The sequence below is a fragment of the Homo sapiens genome, chromosome 22 (genome assembly GCF_000001405.40).
Source record: "Homo sapiens chromosome 22, GRCh38.p14 Primary Assembly".
NCBI lineage: Eukaryota > Metazoa > Chordata > Mammalia > Primates > Hominidae > Homo > Homo sapiens.
The window spans coordinates 20,148,086-20,166,905 of NC_000022.11; the positions used below are offsets into that span (position 1 = coordinate 20,148,086).

Genomic DNA, 18,820 nt, shown 5'->3' on the forward strand with positions numbered 1-18,820 from the left:
GGTGGCCAGGAAGGGAGGGGAGTTGCATGAGGGGCATGAGGTCAGTGGATCAGCAGGTTCAGCGCTGAAAACCTGACCTCTGAGGTCCCTGGGAGGGCCTGGCCCAGGGGGCAAGACCTGAGGACCCCCCAGTCCTTACTGCTGTTGCCTTTCAGTGGAGACCCTCCTAAGACGCCTTGGGGGGTCAGAGCCCCGTGCAGAGGGGCTGCCTTCTGGAGGGCAGGTAGGATGTGGGGTGGGAAGCCGGCCCTGAGCTGGGGTCTCCACCCTGAGGGACCCTCGCTGCAGGATCGCCTGGGCATCCCTCCCCCAATTTCCACAGAGACGTGCTCACCGGCCACTTATGTCATGATTCTATGTCCAGCCACAGGCCCAGCCCTCAGGACAGACCCCACCTCCACCCTTCTCTGCAGCTTCTGGCAAGGATGGTGCACAGTGGTGCCATGTGCAGGGGGCTGGCACGGCCACTGGGCATCCGGGGCAGTGCTGGTCGCCTGGCCTCCTTGCTGGGGCCGCTGGGCCTCTGGCCTAGAAGGGCAGGAAGCCGTCCACTTTGAGGCGCAGGAAGGGGTCCAGCAGGGCCCGGAGCTTCCAGACGGTGGCACGGCTCAGCAGGGGTGGCACCAGCCCCTCGAAAGGTGTGGGGTTCACCACGTACACGTAGGCAGCGGTCCAGACCAGCAGGGCGCCCAGCAGCAGCCTCAGGGTCAGCAGCCTGCGGGCGGCGGTGGTCAGGGGCAGGGGCGCGCGGGGGGCCTGGGGGCTGGGCTCTGCCGTGCAGTCACCTACCAGAGCTGGCCTGCCAGGCCCTTGGAGCTTCCCAGCTTTGGCCTCCCTTTCTGTCGGGGAGGGGCTGGATCAGAGCCCACCCCGAGTGTCCAGGCTGAGGGCAGGGATCCCTGGCTTTGGGAAACCCTCCTCAGACAGGGCTCCCCGCACCGCAGCCCTGGCCCCTTCCTCCTGGACAGGCTCCTGCAGCCACTTTTCCGATGCCCCCTGCCCTGGACCTGCCCTCCTGGAGCCCATTTCTCCCTCTCGCCCAAGCAGGGCCCTGGGTGGGGGGCTGGTCTCCAGACCCAGAGTGGGGCGTGGGGGGCTCACCGACATGCTTGCCATCTGCTTCTCCTTCCTGGCTCGAGTGCGGCACTGGGCCCGCTCCCTGCGGGGGCCTCACTGTCAGGACCCCACACCCTCCACCCCCAGCCTGGCACCCACCCCCTGGCTCGGTGCTGTGGAGGTGGGGGGTCAAGGATGGGTCTGCCCTGTCCTGACCAGGACACCTTCTGAGACCCTGCTCAGCTGGCCCGGCCCCTGCCCCCGTGTTACCTGAGAATCTCCAGCTGGATGTCCTCCATCTGGTCCAGCACGCCCCGGATGTCCTTCTTGAGGTTCTGGGGGCCAGAGGAGGTAAGCACAGCAGGCCCCTCGCCCCGCCCTCCGTGGCCTCTCGCCCGCCGGGCCCCGTCCTTCTGGGTGCTGCCCTGTGGGGACCTACCAGGAGCCCGGTGGCCTGGTTGTTCAGGGCCATGTGCATCTCAGCCACGTTGTCCCACACCTAGGGGGAGGTGGGGTCACGCCTGAGGAGCAGGACCCACTGGGTGGGCCCCCAGCACCCCTCCCCCTCAGCCAGGCGGGCACCTCTGTGATGACCATCTTCTTCCTCTCAAAGCACAGGCGGATCTGCTGCAGCTCGTTCTGAGGGTGGGGCCCAGGATGGGCTTGGGCAGCATCAGCAGGGTGGCCAGTACCTCCCCGCTGGGCCCACTGGCCTACTGCACGAAGACCTCCCTCCCTAATGAATCCCTCAGGCCCACCTGGAGTGCTGTTACGAAGCTTCCTCCCCCCCCACAGCCCCTCCCCCAGGCCCACCTGGGACTGTTGCACGAAAGCCTCTTGCCCCTGGCACAGCTCCCGCCGCAGCAGCTGCAGAGGTGCCCTGTTCCCCAAGGGCTGCGTGCCAGCCGGGTCGGGGGGCTGTGGGAGAGCCCCCAGATCAGCCCTAAGACTGCGGGCTAGAGGGGCGTTGGCTGCATGGGGTCCCTGGGCCCTGTATTTACCCAGGCCAGAGCAGTGCAGCTTGAGTGTTCGGGACACAGGGGCAGGAACTGCTGCCCCGGCCCCAGGAGGGCCCCCAGCTGCTCCCGAAGTTCCTGATTCTGCCTTTTCTGGGGTGGGGGGCAGAGAGAGGGGGCTGCCTGTCATGGCCGCTCCTGCGGCTGGGGCTGGGGCAGGGGCAGGGGCGCCAGGTGGTGGGTGGGGCTGGGGCTGGGGCAGGGGCAGGGGCAGGGGCGCCAGGTGGTGGGTGGGGCTGGGGCTGGGGCAGGGGTACCAGGCGGTGGGTGGGGCTGGGGCTGGGGCTGGGGCGGTGGGTGGGGTGCTCACCAGGCTGTGGTTCTCCTGCTCCAGCTGCAGGAAGGACTGTTCTGCAGAGCCCAGCAGCCCGCACTGAAGCTGGGACAGGGCTACCCTGGGCGAGGCCAGGGCCCCTCCCTCCCGTGACAGGGGTGGGCATGGGCAGGGTCTGGTCCCTGAGCCAATGGATCCCCCCTGCCTGGGAGCCCCCTGGTTCGACCCTGGGTGCAGGGGCCAGCCCCACCCAAGCCCTGCCTCCAGGTCTCCTTGTCTCGGCCCCTCAGTGTCTCTCGCTCTCTGCTCCTGGCTGGACAGAAAGAGCCCGGGAGCCTCGCCCTCCACTGTGGGCCCACTGCCCCCTGCCCCTGGGACTGGGAAAGGTCTCTGGGACTGCACTGAGTGAGCAGAGGAGATGGGGCCCAGGCAGGGCCACCCTACAAATCCCTGGCAGGGCTGGTCCAGGCCTCCTCCATGGCTGCTGGAGGCTGGGGTTGGGGGACACTGGGGGTGGGGGTGGCCGCAGGGGCCCAGGGTTTTCAGCCCCTCCATCCCTCCCTGCAACCCCTTCCTGATCCCAGGTCCAGGCTCTGGCCTGGCCCAACCTGCCACCCTCTTACTGAGGGGGCTGCCCCAGGCAACAGTCACAAAGGCCTGGGTGCAGCCAGGGCGGTCACAATGGGCCCCTCCCACCTGGTCCTGAAGCTGCCCCGCCTGATGACCTCACTGCCTCTGACCCACTGACCCACCATGCGAGTTTTCTTTCTTTCTTTCTTTTATGGGAAGGGGACTTGCTCTGTCACCCAGGCTGGAGTGCAGTGGCACAAGGTGTCTCATTGCAGCCTCCAACTCCTGGGCTCAGGCAATCCTCCCACCTCAGCCTCCCAAGTAGCTAGGACTACAGATGTGTGCAACCATGCCCGGCTAATTTTTAAGTTTTTTGTAGAGATAAGGGTCTCGCTATGTTGCCCAGGCTGGTCACAAACTCCTGGCCTCAAGCGATCCTCTTACCTCAATATCTGAAAGTGTTGGGATTACGGATGTGAGCCACTGCACCCAGCCTAGTTATAAAACAGATAATACACACACTCACAGTGTGGATTCAAAAAGTATCAAACAATAAAAATGGTGTCCAAGCTTTTCCCACCTTTATCTCCTGTCCCTGCAGACAGGAGCTTCCTCTTTAAGCTCCTAGAGGTGGGCTGCCGTCCCCTGCCCCTGGTTCACACAGAAGAGGTCATCCTGTAGCCCAGCTTTGCTTTTCACCTAATATATCTCTGAGGTTTTAAAACATTCTTTTCTAGCTATGTATTGAATATTTACATTATGCCAGATCCAGTACATGCCATTGTTATCCTCTGTTTTTTTTTTTTTTTTTGAGACGGAGTCTTGCTCTGTCGCCCAGGCTGGAGTGCAGTGGCGCAATCTCGGCTCACTGCAAGCTCCGCCTCCCAGGTTCACGCCATTCTCCTGCCTCAGCCTCCCGAGTAGCTGGGACTACAGGCGCCTGTCACCGCGCCCGGCTAATTTTTTTGTATTTTTAGTAGAGACGGGGTTTCACCGTGTTAGCCAGGATGGTCTCGATCTCCTGACCTCATGATCCACCCATCTCCACCTCCCAAAGTGCTGGGATTACAGGCGTGAGCCACCGCGCCTGGCCTGTTATCCTCTGTTTATGGGTGGGAAAGCTGAGGCAGGAAGCCCTTTAGTCACTTGCCGAAGGCCACGCTGTTAACGGTCGGACCAGATTTGGGTGGCGGAAGAGAACTCATCCGACAGTAGGGCCAGATTCACGCCCCAGGCCCGTTCCCTCCTGCTCCCTGGTGCTCCTCACACCATCGGCCCTGCTGCCCCTCACTGCCCCTGAGTCCCTGTGCCCGTGTCCTCCTTCTTGAACCCATCAGCCGTCAGTTAACCCTCAGAAAGCTGGCTCGGAGAAGTCCTCATATGGTAGGAAGAGCCCCGTTCCCTCCTCTCCCGGTGTCCTGGCCCCCCTGCAAGGTGACTTCACCTCCTACATCAAGAGGCGGGTACTGGTCTCCACCTCTGGGCTCTGGGCCGGCCTCGGATGCACTTGGCCAATGGGCTGCTCCTAAGCTGCTGTGGGCAGAGGTTGGCACGACACTTGTGCGCTGGGCCTGGACCTCTCTTGCTTGGCTCTGGGGACTGTCCTCCCTGCAGGAGGCCTGGGCTGGGCTGCAGGATGAGAGGCCATGGGTCAGGAGAGGCTTCTGTCGTCCCAGCCGGTCCCCAGCTGCCTAAAGATGGGTGGACAAGCCCAGCGAGGCCCCCAGAGAACCGGCCCATACGTTAGCCAAGTTGCCGGCCATGTACCATCGAGCCCCGGGCTGTCATGGTGGTTTTGCCACTGAGTTTTGGAGTGTGCTGTGACGTGGGAGGAGACATTGAGAGGCCTCACAAGCCTAGAAGCGTCTTACCCTGACCTCACACCTGCTGGACTTCGGGCTGGGAAGAGAACTGGGGCCGAGGGCGTTTTCCCACAGGACTGGAAGGCCGGTCGTGGTCCTTGGTGGTGAGAGCTGGCCAGGCTGCCAGCCTTCTCCCCGGAAGCCTGCAGGGTCCCCTCTGATCCCTGCGCCTCTGGGGGTCACACCAACTGTGGGTCTTTCCTTCCTCACCACGCTGGGCACTTGGTGAGCACATTCTGCCTTGAGACGGGGCATTTCTTTGATAACATTTCTTCTCATTTCCTGCTTGTTCTGGAACTCCTGTCAGTCAAATGTTGGGCCTTTTGAATTGATCCTGTGAGTCCTTCTTTCTACCTTTGCTTGTAGATAGACTTCCCTGAACCCAAACACAAACACTTTCTCTCTGCTTTTTAAAAAATTGGTTTTGGGGCCGGACGTAGTGGCTCACGCCTGTAGTCGCAGCACTTTGGGAGGCCAAGGCAGGCAGATCACTTGAGGTCAGGAGTTCTAGACCAGCCTAGCCAACATGGTGAAACCCCGTCTCTACTAAAAGTACAAAAATTTGCTGGACGTGGTGGTGTGCGGATGTAATCCCAGCTACTCGGGAGGCTGAGGCAGGAGACTGGCTTGAACCTGGAAGGCGGAGGTTGCAGTGAGCCGAGATCAAGCCACTGCCCTCCAGCCTGGGTGACAGAGCCAGACTCTGTTTTAAAATAAATAAATAAATAAAAATAAAAAATTGGTTTTGGATTTTAGCAGTCCTGTTTTTCATTTCCAAGACATTTCCATTGTTCCCTGAGCTCCCCTCTTCTTGTTCCAGAGAATTCTGTTCTGCTCTTAGGGATAAAGTGGCTTTGGGGGGAGGCGAATCTTTTGCTTTCTGCATTTTCTCTCTTGCGGTTCTTTTTTGTTTGTTTAGTCTTGGAGCTTCACATGAGACTCAGTGCTCAAATGTCTGGCTTTTCTTTCTTTTCAATCCCTGTTTATAGGGGAGACAGGCAGAGCTGCCGGGCACTCCTCTTTCCTTGTTAACTTGAGGAAGCCGGACAGCCAGGTCTTGGAAGGGAGGCCTCCTGCCTCCAGGCGGCATCTCGGGCTGCAGGGCTGTGGTCTGGAGTGCGGACAGTACCAGCTCCCACTGCTGTCCTGCCATGCTTGTTCGCAGTACTCGTCTCCTCACACCAGTGACGAGGCCACTGCTTGCCAGCCGCTTGCCTTCTTCCCGCCAGGCTGTCCTGCTACGTCAGCCTCCGCTCTCCACCTCAAGAAGTGTCTCGAAATATCTTCTCTGCAGATGACCTCTCTCCTGTTCTCAGTGCCACGTGGGGCCTCCCCAGCAGAGGCGGCTGGACACCTGGCCCTGGCTGCTGGAGGTTGTTTAGCTGCCAGAGGGTGGCGGTAGCCTCCAGGACCCTCCCCTGGCCTCTGCCCTGTTCATCCTTTGCCGGAATGTCATGGGTTTCAGGATGTGCTGAGCTCCGAAACCCCATGGGGCAACTTGGGATGGGGGCTAAGGAAGGCCTCTTGGAGGAGCCCTGAGGCGAGGTGGCCCTGGGGTGGGGTGGAGGAGGCCCTGAGCAGCAGGGGAGGGGGTTGCACCCTGCTCTCTGTGTCCCTGAGTGAATGGGGCAGGGGCTGCACCCTGCTCTCTGCGTCTCTGAGTGAGTGGGGCGGGGGCTGCACCCTGCTCTGTGTGTCCCTGAGTGAGTGGGGCAGGGGCTGCCCCCTGCTCTCTGCATCTCTGAGTGGGATGGGGGCTGCCCCCTGCTCTCTGCGTCCCTGAGTGAGTGGGGCGGGGGCTGCCCCCTGCTCTCTGTGTCCCTGAGTGGGGTGGGGGCTGCCCTCTGCTCTCTGTGTCCTTGAGTGAGTGGGGTGGGAGCTGCACCCTGCTCTCTGTGTCCCTGAATGAGTGGGGTGGGGGCTGCACCTGCTCTGTGTGTCCCCAGCCTGCTAAGTGCCCCACAGGGGCCAGGATGCTGAGGAGTGAGAGGTCTTCACAGAGACAGGTGGCTCCTGTAATAAGGAAGACAACACTGGCTTCCTGGGCGAACAGCAGGGCGGGGTCCTTAGGTCCCACTGTAGGTGCCCAGGCCCGGATGAGATTCCCCAGTGGCCCTGAGGGGGCGCCCGGGACACCCTGGATGGCCCAGTGTCCTCCCGTCACCCTCGCCCCTGGGCACCATCCTCCTTGGCCTGGAAACCCCAAGCTCCCTGACGCCCCCGCCCCTCTCCCCGGGCCTGTGCCGGGGAAGGATACTGCTGCTCCGTCAGTCAGCCATAGAGCCCCTCCTCCCCCAGCCCCTCTCACCCCTCCCTGTGGTCCTTGCCAATCGCCCTGAGCCCGAAAAGGTGGGAGATTCTTGGAGAGATGGGGCCCTGGATCCCCGGCCCTGGATCCCCATCCCTGGGGTCCCCCACTCACGGGGTCAGATACGCTAACAAAGGCCAAGCGCCCTGCCAAGCGGTGTCCTGGATTGGGGTGGGCGTGGGGGTTCGCCTCAGGTCCAGGCTCCGGGATGTCGTGCAGGACAGGGCGCGGTTGCGGCGGGGGCACTGGCTGGAAGCCGGAACTCCCGGCCTCGAGGGCGGAAAGTGTGGCCAGCGCAGCGTGCTGGGGGGGCCATGGCCCCGTTGCCAGGCAGCGCCTCCCTGGACGCCAGTTGCCATGGAAGCCGCTTCCTGCCCATGTTGCCAGGGCGTCCAGATGGCCTCGAGGAGCCTGGTTCAGAGGGGCCGCCCTATGCCCTTGCCCCTCCTCCGCTGCCCAGGGATGGGCTGGGAGGACAAAGAGGAGGAGAGGCTGGGACTCCCAGCATGGAGATCCGAGTCCTTCCTGCTGGAGCCAGGCTGCGGCCCAGGGCAGGGGCCAGATGGGGCTGTTCTGCTGTCTGCACCGCGGACTTGATGTTCATACCCCAAGCTCATTTTATTTATTTTCTATTTTTATTAAGAAAGAGTCTCACTCTGTTGCCCAGGCTGGAGTGCAGTGGCGCGATCACAGCTCACTGAAGCCTCCAGTTGGGCTCAAGGGATCCTCCCACCTCAGCCTCCCGTGTATTGGGGACCACAGGTATGTGCCACCATGCCCAGATAATTCTTTATTGTTTTATTTTTGTAGAGACTGGGTCTCGCTATGTTGCCCAGGCTGGTCTTGAACTCCTGGCTCAAGTGATCTGCCCGCCTCAGCCTCTCAAAATGCTAGGATTACAGGTGTGAGACACCTCGCCTGTGCTTGGCTGCTCCCGAGCATATCTCAGAAGCCAGGAAACAGGCCCTGAATGGATGGAGCTCGGGGTCACTGGGCCAGCCACAGCCCTCAGAGGACCCCATCTCTGTGCCCTCTAACCTGGGCTCCTGGCCCACACCCACCCAGGCTGCCTGTCAGGATCTGCTCCCTCTCCAGCCCTCAGAGCTGCCCTATGTGGAGGGTTGGGGGTCCCAGAAAACCTGGGAGAAACGGGTCCTGGAAACAGGGTCGGGGGGAAGGGCAGAGTGCTGGGGATGCTGGGCCCACGACCTCCCTGTCCCTGGGGCTTCCCCATGTCAGAGGTGAGGCTCAGAGAGGTAAGGGCGCACCCTTTGTCTGCCCCCTCCCCAGCATGGCCAAGTCGCTCCCAGGGTGCAGGCGATGGCAGGCCATTTGTCTCCCTCCTGGGTGAGTCTCTGGACATGGATTCTCACATTTTTTATTTAAGAATCAGAGAGATATAAGAATGTCAAGGAAAAATCCTCTCATGGACAATGCAGCCCCAGTAAATGACTGTCAGCCGGCGTGTCCAGGGCTTCAAGGCCCCAGGAAGTGGCCATGCTGGGGCTGCCAGGCCTCTGGCTCCAGGGTCACTGGGGCTGAACTGTCTGCCCAGGCCCGGAGACACCCTGCCCCTGAGGAGCCCACCGGCTTGGCCAGTCCATCTTCTTGGCACTCCCTGACCACCACTTACCTTCTAGTCGGACAGTGGAGCCTGGGGGGACAGCGTGGCAGAGTGCCTGATGGTCGGTGACAAAGTCATCTCCAAAGTCCTTGCTGGGGCCAAGAGCCAGGACTCCTTGCCCGTCCCCGTCACTGCCCTGTGCCCGCCCAGCACCTGCTGGGGACTAGGCTGCCCATTGGAGAAGGAAACACAGTGCTGGGCTGTGAGCTCCTGAAGCCTGTCTCTGTGCCCCAGGACCAGGCTCCTGGGTGGAGGGAGAGACCAGGGGCAGGTGAGGAAAGGCAGGGCCCCCAGAATCCCTCCATGCCTGCCCCTCAGTCTCCAGGACTTATGTGCAGGTACCGTTTGGAGCTGTGGTGCAGTTCCCAGTCTCACCACCAGATGGCACCATGCCCCTGCAGAAGCAGTGCCCAGAGCAGGCCAGGTGGTTCTCGGGGGCTGCGGTGGAGGAATCCACCCAGCCGAAGCTCTGGCAGGGAAGGGGCAGTGCTAGGGGGAGCCCCCTCCCCACTTGGATCCGAAGTTCCCATGGGGCCTAGGGCAGGGGCTTGCCAGGTAGCCAGAAGTTCCCTTGCTGAGTCTAGGGTGTCTATCCCACATTTCACATGGAGACGAATCATCCCAGACACCCCGGCACTGTCCCGGGGCCGTTTGCCACCCCTCCCAAGGGGCAGGGCTCCTGTCTTGGGGCCTTCCCAAGCATAGTAGCCTTCGGGCAGCCCCGGCCTGGCCCCAGGTTGTCCCACTTGTCAGTGGGCAGCTGGGGCTGGGGGAGGGGTCCCAGCTCCTGTCCAAGGTCACCATTGCCCCTGACCAGGGTGTGGCAGCTGCTGTGGCCTGGGTCAGTGAGGCCGTGGACGGAGGGTGGCCTGGGTGTAGGCACTGCTCTCAGCTAAGAGAGAGCCCATCTGGAGGAAGAACCAGGAACCAGAGGGATGGCCGGGTTCCCAGCGTGCAGGAGGCCAGCTTAAGTTCAGTAGGGTCCCCCTGCAGGGACTCCAAGAGGCAAACCACATGGAGAGTCACCTGAGAGGGAATGATGGAGGCTGGGGAGGTGGAGCCCCCACCTCCAACTGCTGCCTCGGCCCCCACAGCAGGGGAGGGCGGGAGGCTGGCACTGGCACTGCCCTGGGAGATGCCACCTGGGCCTTGGTCTGGGGAGGAGGGCTGGCCAGGAGGCTGGGTACGGCTACTGCTCTGGAGTGACCGAACCATTTCCACCCTGCTTGCCTTATTCTTCTCATGAGGGCCTCAAGGGGACACACCAGAGGTTTACTGGGGACATGGCAGGGGAGGGATCTCAGTGCTGGCCTTCTGGGGCCCTGCGTCCACTCCGCCCCTTTCTGACCTGGGCTGGGGCCTCTGCCCTCCCCGGGGCCTGGAGACAGAGCCCTTTTGGAGGCCCTCAGGCTTGACAAGCCTACTTCTTAGAGCCAGGCTGTGGGCTGGGCTGTATCCTGGTGGGATGAGGGATCTGGGGCTTGGGTGGGAGTGGGGCTGGGAGCAGGTGGAAGTTGGTGCCTCAGGCTCTGAGGAATGGGCCTGGGATGGCTGCAAAGTGGAGGAGAGGCTCTCTCAACCCTGGGCTTTGGGGTCTGAGCCCAGCCCTGTCCTCAGGCAGTCTGCCCCTGCAGCCCCGCATTGCCATGTTGGTTGGAGTTGCGATGAGAGGTGCTGGGGCCTCCCTTGCCTCTGCCCAGCACAGCTGAGAAGTTACGTGCTGCTGCCCAACTGTGGGGGTTTCAAACCCCGCTGGAGCCTCCAGGTGGGCCCTTGGGCAGCAGGGCCTTGTGGCGGGAGGAGGGGACCCTGGGAAGTCAGGGACCAGGCGGGGGAGGGAGAGAAGGTGGGAGCACAGTTGTGGGTGTGGGTACCCGCCCCTTCCTGAACTGTGTTCCTCCCGGCCCACCTGACTCTAGTCCTCTGTGCCGGCTGCCAGGGGATACCCGAGGCCACCTGCGTCCCCAAAAGAAGGTCTCACCTTCAGAGCCAGCCTTTGAGGCTCCTGGGTGACCTCAGCCTGTTACCCTTGACCCTGAGTTCACCTAGATCAAGTGGGAGGCCGCTCTTTGGGCCTCAGTTCTCCCATCCTCAGGGAGTAGGTCCTCTGTCCCCTGACAGCACCCCTCCTCGCTGTGCCACCACCACTGCCAGGGTTCTGATCTGTGGATGTTCCCCAGGGGGTGGCTCTGGGCTCTCAGGCAACCGGCTACTGTGGATGGTGGTTTGCACGAGAATAGTGTCACTCTTGGGTCCTTTGCTTGAAGTTGGCTCTGCTGAGTGCAGCCTGCAGACATTTTCAGGAAACTGAATCCACAGGCTGGAGCCTTCTGCTTCCCCACAACCCAAACGGCCCCCAGCCAGCCAAACAGCCACGAGAACCCAGCTGCTAGCAACTGCCAGCAGGAAACCCACTACCAGCCGCTCACAGATGGACAGCCCATCCCAGGAGCTGGCCCCACCTCCCCGCCCCTCTGCTGACCAACCCAGCAGCTCCTTGGGTGGGTGTGGCCACCCTGCTGCCCCAACCTGCTCCCGGACCCTGTGCCAGGAGGTGCTTCGCCTCAGCGGGGCCTTGCCTCCCCCAGAGCCGCTCTGCTGCCTGACCTTGCAATGTCATGGGTCCTCTGGGCACTGGCGCAGTTGGGTGGGATCAGCTTTGGCCAGCAGGTGGGGGGCAGGTGGGTAAATCCTCCCTCTCTGCCATCTCCGCTTCCTTCCTCCTGCCCGGCTTCCCTGCCTTTTTCCTACTCTGGCTCCAGGGTTGCACTGCTCAGAAAGCTGTTGCTGCCTGGCCAGCACGCAGGCCTGATTTTCCTGGGAGCCTGGACTAAGACCCTGACCAGTCCTCCCACCCACCACCCACACCACCACCCAGCTAGCCAGCAGCTAGGCCAGGAGTGATCAGGAGGGGGCCCAACCGACCACCCACCCGGCGTCTCCAGCCGGCCAACTCTGCCCACTCAGGGCCGTGAGCTGGAGGTGCCAGGAGCCTCCCGGGAGGCAGTGTGAGGCATTCTTCTTAGTAAGTCCCGCATCGATGATAAAGGGCAGTATCAGCCCCTCTCTGATGCGCAGTGAGCGGCTCACCATACAGGGGAGGCGTTTAATTTATCTCGGGAACTGGGCGCAAGTTATAAAAATGGTAATTTCTTGGAGATTCAATTACATGTTTTCATTGTTACCCTCGATAATCAAGGAAACGATTTTTTATAAAAGGCTGTGGGATGATACTGATCTCAGGAGAGGATCTGGGCCGGGTGGGGGCTTTGGGGACGAAGAGGAGGGCAGTGTCTGCTGGGGGCAGGCAGGGCAAGTGGAGCTGGGCCGGCCGGCCCACCAGCTCCTGCAGCCCACCAGTTCCTCCAGCTCCTCCAGCCCTCCAGTTCCTCTAGCTCTCCAGCTCCTCCAGCCCACCAGTTCCTCCAGCCCTCCAGCTCCTCCGGCCCTCCAGCTCCTCCAGCCCACCAGCTCCTCTAGCCCTTCAGCTTCTCTGGCCCACCAGTTCCTCCAGCCCTCCAGCTCCTTCAGCCCTCTCTGGCCTCAGTCTTCCCATCTGCCGACGGGCCCATCTCTGGTAGGGAGGGTCTGCGTTTTGGCATGAGGGCTGATGAAGTGAGGCGTGACTCCTGGGCCGTGAGGGTGGCTGCGTCCCTGCCCCTCCCTTCCTGGTGCCCGAGCAGTCTCGTCCATCTCCTGAGGGCTCTGCAGGGAATAGAGAGGGGTTCCTGGTGGAGTGTGGACCTGATTTTTTCCCCAAGTGATGTCTTGGCTCTAAATAACATCTCCAGGATTAATGATGCCGGCCCCCAACAGCACCAGGTGATTGGAAAAAGGGTTTTATGGCCCCGTGGGTGAAATTGAACTTGCATCTGAGGTGTATTTCCAAGATGGGATTTTCCTCCCTGGCAGAGGCGGCACATTTCACGCTAATGATAATGGCAGCTCCTCGACATTCATCACCTATAGTTGGGGGGACACCCGTCTGGGGCACAGGGGCAGGGTGTCCCTGGGGTAACCTCCAGGTCTCCTAATCTCAGCAGACTCTGGGGGGCTGGTTCTAGGAGATGCGCCCTCACCCAGTGCAGGGCCAGGGAAGGGGGAGGCAGGAGCCCCCAGGGGATGAACGAGCTCTAGCTGGGCTGCACCAGGGAGGAGGCTGGAAGGAGGCCCCAGGCTGAGGGTAGGACCCGGCTAGTGCTTGCCCAGGGACCCACAGGCCCCTTGCTGAGCAGACTCCAGCGAGGGGCCTGGCCCATCTTGTTGCAAAGGGCTAGAGTCCTGGGCTGAGCTGGGCAGTTGACCTTGGATCTGACTCTGTCTCCCCTGAAAGCTGTTCCACCCCAATGCAGGCTCCTGCAGCCTAGCACAGCGCCCAGCCAGGATGGGCAGGAGGAAGCCCTTCTTCCGACGGGCTGTCACCGCGCCCTGCCTGAGGGGCCTCAAGCCCCAGGGCTCTTGTCTCAGAACTGGGCCGTGGAGATTCAGGAACTATGGGAGTTTGGGGGATCTTGGTGGCTGAGGGCTGTGCTCATGGAGGACTCCTTGAGTTCAGAAGATGAGGCCCACCTTCTGCATAGCCAATAGGTCATTGTCACAGGGACACTGACCACCAGCACCAACCTCCATCCCCCGGCACCTGCCTTTATCACCCATTTCCCAGGTGAGGACAGGGGCTCAAAGAGGGGCAGGGTTCCTCTGAGGTAACACAGCAGGTGAGCAACAGAGCCAGTGAGGGCCTGGGGGTGTCCTGCCACGGGCTGAGGTGTGCCCACATGCAGGAATCCAGGGGTCCGTGGGCCAGGACACTGCCAAGAGTTGGGGGCTGGGGGAGGGAAGGGGGCATTGCCAATGCTGCAGCCCCTGCCCTGGGGGGTAGGAGGGAGATGCCCCTCCGGGGGCCCAAGGGCAGGGTGGGCCCATGCTGTTCCCTCCCACCTGCCACGGGTGAACCTGACAGGAGTGGGGATGGAGCCTGGCATCCCGAGGGAACCTCCTGGAGTAATCACTCCACATGCTCGCGGTAAATACTGGGCCCTTCTTCCCCTCCCAGTAATTGAACTTATTTACTTTTAACTAAGATTAAATGTTCTCTGCGAGCTCAAGATACTGACTGCCCTGTCAGGCTCAGTCCACGCTCTGCTCTTCCTGCCTCTGGGGACCAACCCCAGGCAGGGAGGGACCAGGCAGCCCTGGAGAAGCACAGAAATTGTTTTTCCAGGAAACTCTGGGTGGATAATCCACTTACATCATCACCACTGTCACCATGAGCATGGCCATAACCACCATCATGGTCAGCTCCACCAGCATCACCACCACCACCACCACCATCACCATCACTGCCACCACCACCGCCACCATGACTACCACCACCATCACCACCACCACCACCATCACTACCACCACCACCATCACTACCACCACCACCACCACGATCACTACCACCACCACCACCATCACCATCACTACCACCACCACCACCATCACCATCACCACCACCATCACTACCACCACCACCACCACCACCATCACCATCACTACCACCACCATCACTACCACCACCACCACCACCACCACCATCACTACAACCACTACCACCACCACCACCATCACTACGACCACCACCATAACCATCACTACCACCATCACCACCACCACCATCACCATCACCACCACCATCACCATCACTACCACCACCACCACCACCACCATCACTACCACCACCACCATCACTACCACCATCACCATCACTACCACCACCACCACCACCACCATCACTACCACCACCACCACCACCATCATCACCACCACCACCACCACCACCACCATCACTACCACCACCACCACCATCACTACCACTACCACCACCATCACTGCCACCACCACCACCACCACCATCACTACCACCACCACCACCATCACTGCCACCACCACCACCACCACCATCACTACCACCACCACCATCACCACCACCACCACCATCACTACCACCACCACCACCACCATCACTACCACCACCACCACCACCATCACTACCACCACCACCATCACCACCACCACCACCATCACTACCACCACCACCACCACCACCATCACTACCACCACCACCACCACCATCACTACCACCACCACCACCATCACTACCACCACCACCACCACCACCATCACTACCACCACCACCACCATCACCATCACTACCACCATCACCACCACCACCACCATCACCACCACCACCATCACCATCACTACCACCACCACCATCACCACCACCACCACCATCACTACCACCACCACCACCACCACCACCATCACTACCACCACCACCACCACCATCACTACCACCACCACCACCATCACTACCACCACCACCACCACCATCACTACCACCACCACCACCATCACCATCACTACCACCATCACCACCACCACCACCATCACCACCACCACCATCACCATCACTACCACCACCACCACCACCATCACTACCACCATCACCACCATCACCACCACCATCACTACAACCACCATCACTACCACCATCACCACTACCACCATCACTACCACCACCACCACCACCATCACCATCACTTCCACCACCACCACCACCACCATCACTACCACCACCACCACCACCATCACCATCACTTCCACCACCACCACCACCACCATCACTACCACCACCACCACCACCATCACCATCACTTCCACCACCACCACCACCACCATCACTACCACCACTACCACCAGGACCACCATCACTACCACCACCACCACCACCATCACTACCACCATCACCACCACCACCACCACCATCACTACCACCACCACCACCACCATCACTACCACCACCACCATCACCATCACCACCACCACCACCACCACCATCACTACCACCACCACCACCATCACCATCACCACCACCACCACCATCACTACCACCACCACCACCACCATCACTACCACCACCACCATCACCATCACTTCCACCACCACCACTGCCATCACTACCACCACCACCACCATCACCATCACTACCACCACCCCACCACTACCACCATCACCACCACCACCACCATCACTACCACCACCACCACCACCATCACTACCACCACCACCATCACCATCACTTCCACCACCACCACTGCCATCACTACCACCACCACCACCATCACCATCACTACCACCACCACCACCACCATCACCATCACTACCACCACCACCACCACCACCATCACTACCACCACCACCACCATCACTACCACCACCACCATCACTACCACCATCACCACCATCACTATCCCCACCATCACTACCACTGCCACCACCACCACCATCACTACCACCACCACCACCATCACTACCACCACTACCACCACCACCACCATCACCACCACCACCACCATCACTACCACCACCACCACCAGCACCACCACCATCACTACCACCATCACCACCACAACCACCATCACCACCACCATCATCAGAACCACCACCATCACCATCACTACCACCACCACCACCATCACCACCACCACCATCACCATCACTATCACCACCACCATCACCATCGTTACCATCACCATCACCATCACCACCACCACCACCATCACCATCACTATCACCACCACCATCACCATCGTTACCATCACCATCACCATCACCATCACCATCACCATCACCACACCTCCATCACTATGGTCGCTGTGACTGAGCCCATCCTCACTACTGTCATCAGCACTGTCACAGCACCATGCTGACAAGCCCACAGTGGGTTTGAGGGCTGCCATTGCTTGGGACTAGTTCCTCAGGCACAGGAGGCTCCACGCTGGTCTGATTGCATTGGAGGGGATGCCTGACAAAGGTCTTTATGGGGTGTGCATTGTGGAGTGGGGAGGGGGAGGCTCAGGGAGGTCTCGAGGACTTCATGCCGTGGGCATTCTCCCCGGCCCCCTTCTGTCTCAGCAGCTCCCCACGCTTCTTGACTGAGCTGGAGCAGAGGAAGCAGGCAGGGGTGGGAGGAGGGGCAGGGGCAGGAGAAGGGGCAGGGGCAGCCACAACCACCTCCACTTAGGTTGGAGCACAGCCTCCTGGCCTCCCTAAAGTGAAGGGCCACCCAGAGGAGGCACCTAACCATTCTCCCCTCCGGACTCCACCCAGTGCTTGGATAGCCAGCGGGGCAGCTTGGGGTCGGGGCTGGGCACTCAGCCAAAGGGGCTGGAGAGCATGCCGTGTGCAGAGCCTGCTCCCATGAGGTGGTGAGAGCCTGCTGCACTGGTCTCCTGCCCCGAGCCTTGGCTTGCTCATCTATGAACGGGTGACGTGGTGCCTGCTGCACAGCAGGCCACAAGAGCAGAGCGACAGGACACAGTGAGGGGCGGTAAGGTGCTGCCTGGTAAGAGAGCTGTGGGCTGGCCTCAAGGGGTAGCCTGTGTCCTCTTGCTGAGAATAGTGGGAAGCGAGCTGCGAGCTTGGGCCCACAGTGGTGGTCTTAGGCTGCCGTGGTCACATAACGCCACCTCCCAGTGCCTGCGGCACCACCCCTGGGCTCCGCAGCCCCAGCCAGCCGTCCATGTGGCCCATCCTGTCCTCTCCAGGCCTGTCTGTGTGCACCCAGTGGAGGGTCTCCTGTCTCCTGTGGCTCCCTGAGGCTGCTGGTCACAGAGCTGATGAGGACACTAGAGACCGCTGCGGGGCTGGGCGGGGGCCCTGTGGGAGCGCAGCAGCCTGGGATCTGCAGCTGGGGCTGACCTAGCACAGCAGGCCACTGATGCCACCTCTCAAGTGGCAGGGGCTTCACAGCCTCCCACTGCAATCCCGGCAGGCCTCGGTGCCAGGGCGGCCCCATCCTGGGGGCCACTGAGGACCTGCATCGGCCACAGGGCTCGTGAGCATGGGCACCCCAGGGCTCAGTGGGGGCAGCTAGAGGGAGGGTTCAGTCACCTAGGCCTGCCCAGAGCCCTGCTCAGGGCCCAGGATGAACTGATGGGGGCAACCTGCAGGCGGTGCCAGCGAGAGTGGGCGCTCCCCACAACAGGGGAGCCACAGCCAGCCTCACCGAGAGCAGGGAGGGAATGTGTGGAGATGCAGGAAACCTCTGCCACGTCCAGGAAATATTATTAACAATTAAAAATTTTAAATCTTGGTAACATTCCCGATGGCCAGATAATTAATATAAGAGCAGATAATAATTACTCAATGATTAATAACTGCACTGAATAGTTTTCAAAGTAATTGTGATAAAGAGAATGTTAAATGAAAACCCATCAAAGTTGCTGATGCCCTGCACAGCGAGGGCACCTTAGTGCTGGGGGTGGCCATGTCGACTGGGCTGAGACTGGCCCCCCGGGCCCACTGTGTCCTGGTGGCACGTATGGAGTGTGAGGACCACCTCCCCAACACACACGGGGTGAGGACCCTGCACGCACATGCAAAGGCAGGGGTCTCTCTTAGTATTGGGGCAGGTGGGCAGAACCTGTCTCTCTTCCTGCCTCACTGGGATTGTGGATGACCATGGGGTTGGCTCAGGAGTCTGCCCTGTGCCTGCAGATGTTCTGGATATCTGGGCTAGTGTTGGGGGGTATTATCTGACCCATGGACCAGTCTCTGGTTCTTCTATTGCCCCAGCCACTCCAGGCCTTTGGTGAACCCCCTCTACCATTCAACTTGACCTGCCATGTTCCTGAGATCTAGCCCAGGGCTACTCCATCCACCAATTCTCACTAAAGTGTGAGTGGTTGCTTGGCACTACCCTAATCTTTGCCGCCTCATGTGTTTATTGGTGTGAAGCCTTCAGCTGCAGGGGGATGAAGAAGGTGATTCCAGGCAGAGCAGGCCTGCTCCCTCCACCCTTAGGCTACTGACTCTGCAGTCCTGGACAGTGGCTGGGAGCTACCAGGAGCCCAGGTTGGGGCAGGACCTGGGGACCTACTGCCCCTCACATAAGCCAGTTTCTCCAATCCTGGTTCCTTGCCCTGTCTGCCATGCCTCCCAGCTGACACCACCGTGCGGCTCCCTCACCTCATCCTCTGAACAGGACCATCCTGAGTTGTCACAGCTTCCAGACCCCCCGAAGCCACCTGGTCCCCTATCAGGCTGAGGCTGTCCAGACAT

At 60.8% G+C, this 18,820-nt stretch overlaps 1 protein-coding gene across 8 annotated transcripts, besides 3 other annotated features; it reads right to left on the reverse strand.

Annotated features, from left to right (window-relative positions):
- CCDC188 (coiled-coil domain containing 188) lies at positions 331 to 2,970 on the reverse strand. Of its 8 annotated transcripts, NM_001365892.2 has the most exons (9): positions 2,383 to 2,970; positions 2,058 to 2,165; positions 1,870 to 1,974; positions 1,639 to 1,695; positions 1,496 to 1,555; positions 1,327 to 1,391; positions 1,102 to 1,159; positions 790 to 839; positions 331 to 715 (listed from the first exon to the last, which is right to left on the reverse strand). In NM_001365892.2, exons 1-9 carry the CDS (start codon positions 2,899 to 2,901, stop codon positions 529 to 531), a joined length of 1,209 nt encoding a protein of 402 aa, NP_001352821.1. In that variant the 5' UTR covers positions 2,902 to 2,970; the 3' UTR covers positions 331 to 528. The 8 variants fall into 8 exon arrangements, with proteins under 8 accessions (NP_001352821.1, XP_005261295.1, XP_047297314.1 ...); XM_005261238.4 differs by lacking the exon at positions 790 to 839; XM_047441358.1 differs by having other exon boundaries at positions 1,639 to 1,974.
- Positions 7,301 to 7,595: a silencer, noted in NCBI's record as "tiled region #11686; HepG2 Repressive DNase matched - State 20:ReprD, and K562 Repressive non-DNase unmatched - State 25:Art". NCBI's record gives its function as "represses a minimal TATA promoter and a strong SV40 promoter by Sharpr-MPRA in HepG2 and K562 cells {active_cell/tissue: HepG2 | K562}" and the evidence as "EXISTENCE:reporter gene assay evidence [ECO:0000049][PMID:27701403]".
- Positions 8,955 to 9,192: an enhancer blocking element, noted in NCBI's record as "candidate insulator 22-3; strong CTCF association in K562 cells". NCBI's record gives its function as "blocks activity of the beta-globin HS2 enhancer when located between the enhancer and the Agamma-globin gene promoter in a lentiviral reporter assay in K562 erythroleukemia cells {active_cell/tissue: K562}" and the evidence as "EXISTENCE:reporter gene assay evidence [ECO:0000049][PMID:24098520]".
- Positions 8,955 to 9,192: an insulator, noted in NCBI's record as "candidate insulator 22-3; strong CTCF association in K562 cells". NCBI's record gives its function as "protects against retroviral vector genotoxicity in a mouse in vivo tumor formation model" and the evidence as "EXISTENCE:in vivo assay evidence [ECO:0000178][PMID:24098520]".

Coding starts and splice junctions, on each gene's coding strand:
- CCDC188 (XM_047441357.1), bottom strand. CDS start 2,901: ATGGAGGGGCTGAAAACCCTGGGCCCCTGCGGCCACCCCCACCCCCAG. Junction 2,166..2,382: donor AGCAGGAGAACCACAGCCTG/GTGAGCACCCCA, acceptor CCCCCACCCCAG/AAAAGGCAGAATCAGGAACT. Junction 1,392..1,495: donor ACCAGGCCACCGGGCTCCTG/GTAGGTCCCCAC, acceptor TCTGGCCCCCAG/AACCTCAAGAAGGACATCCG.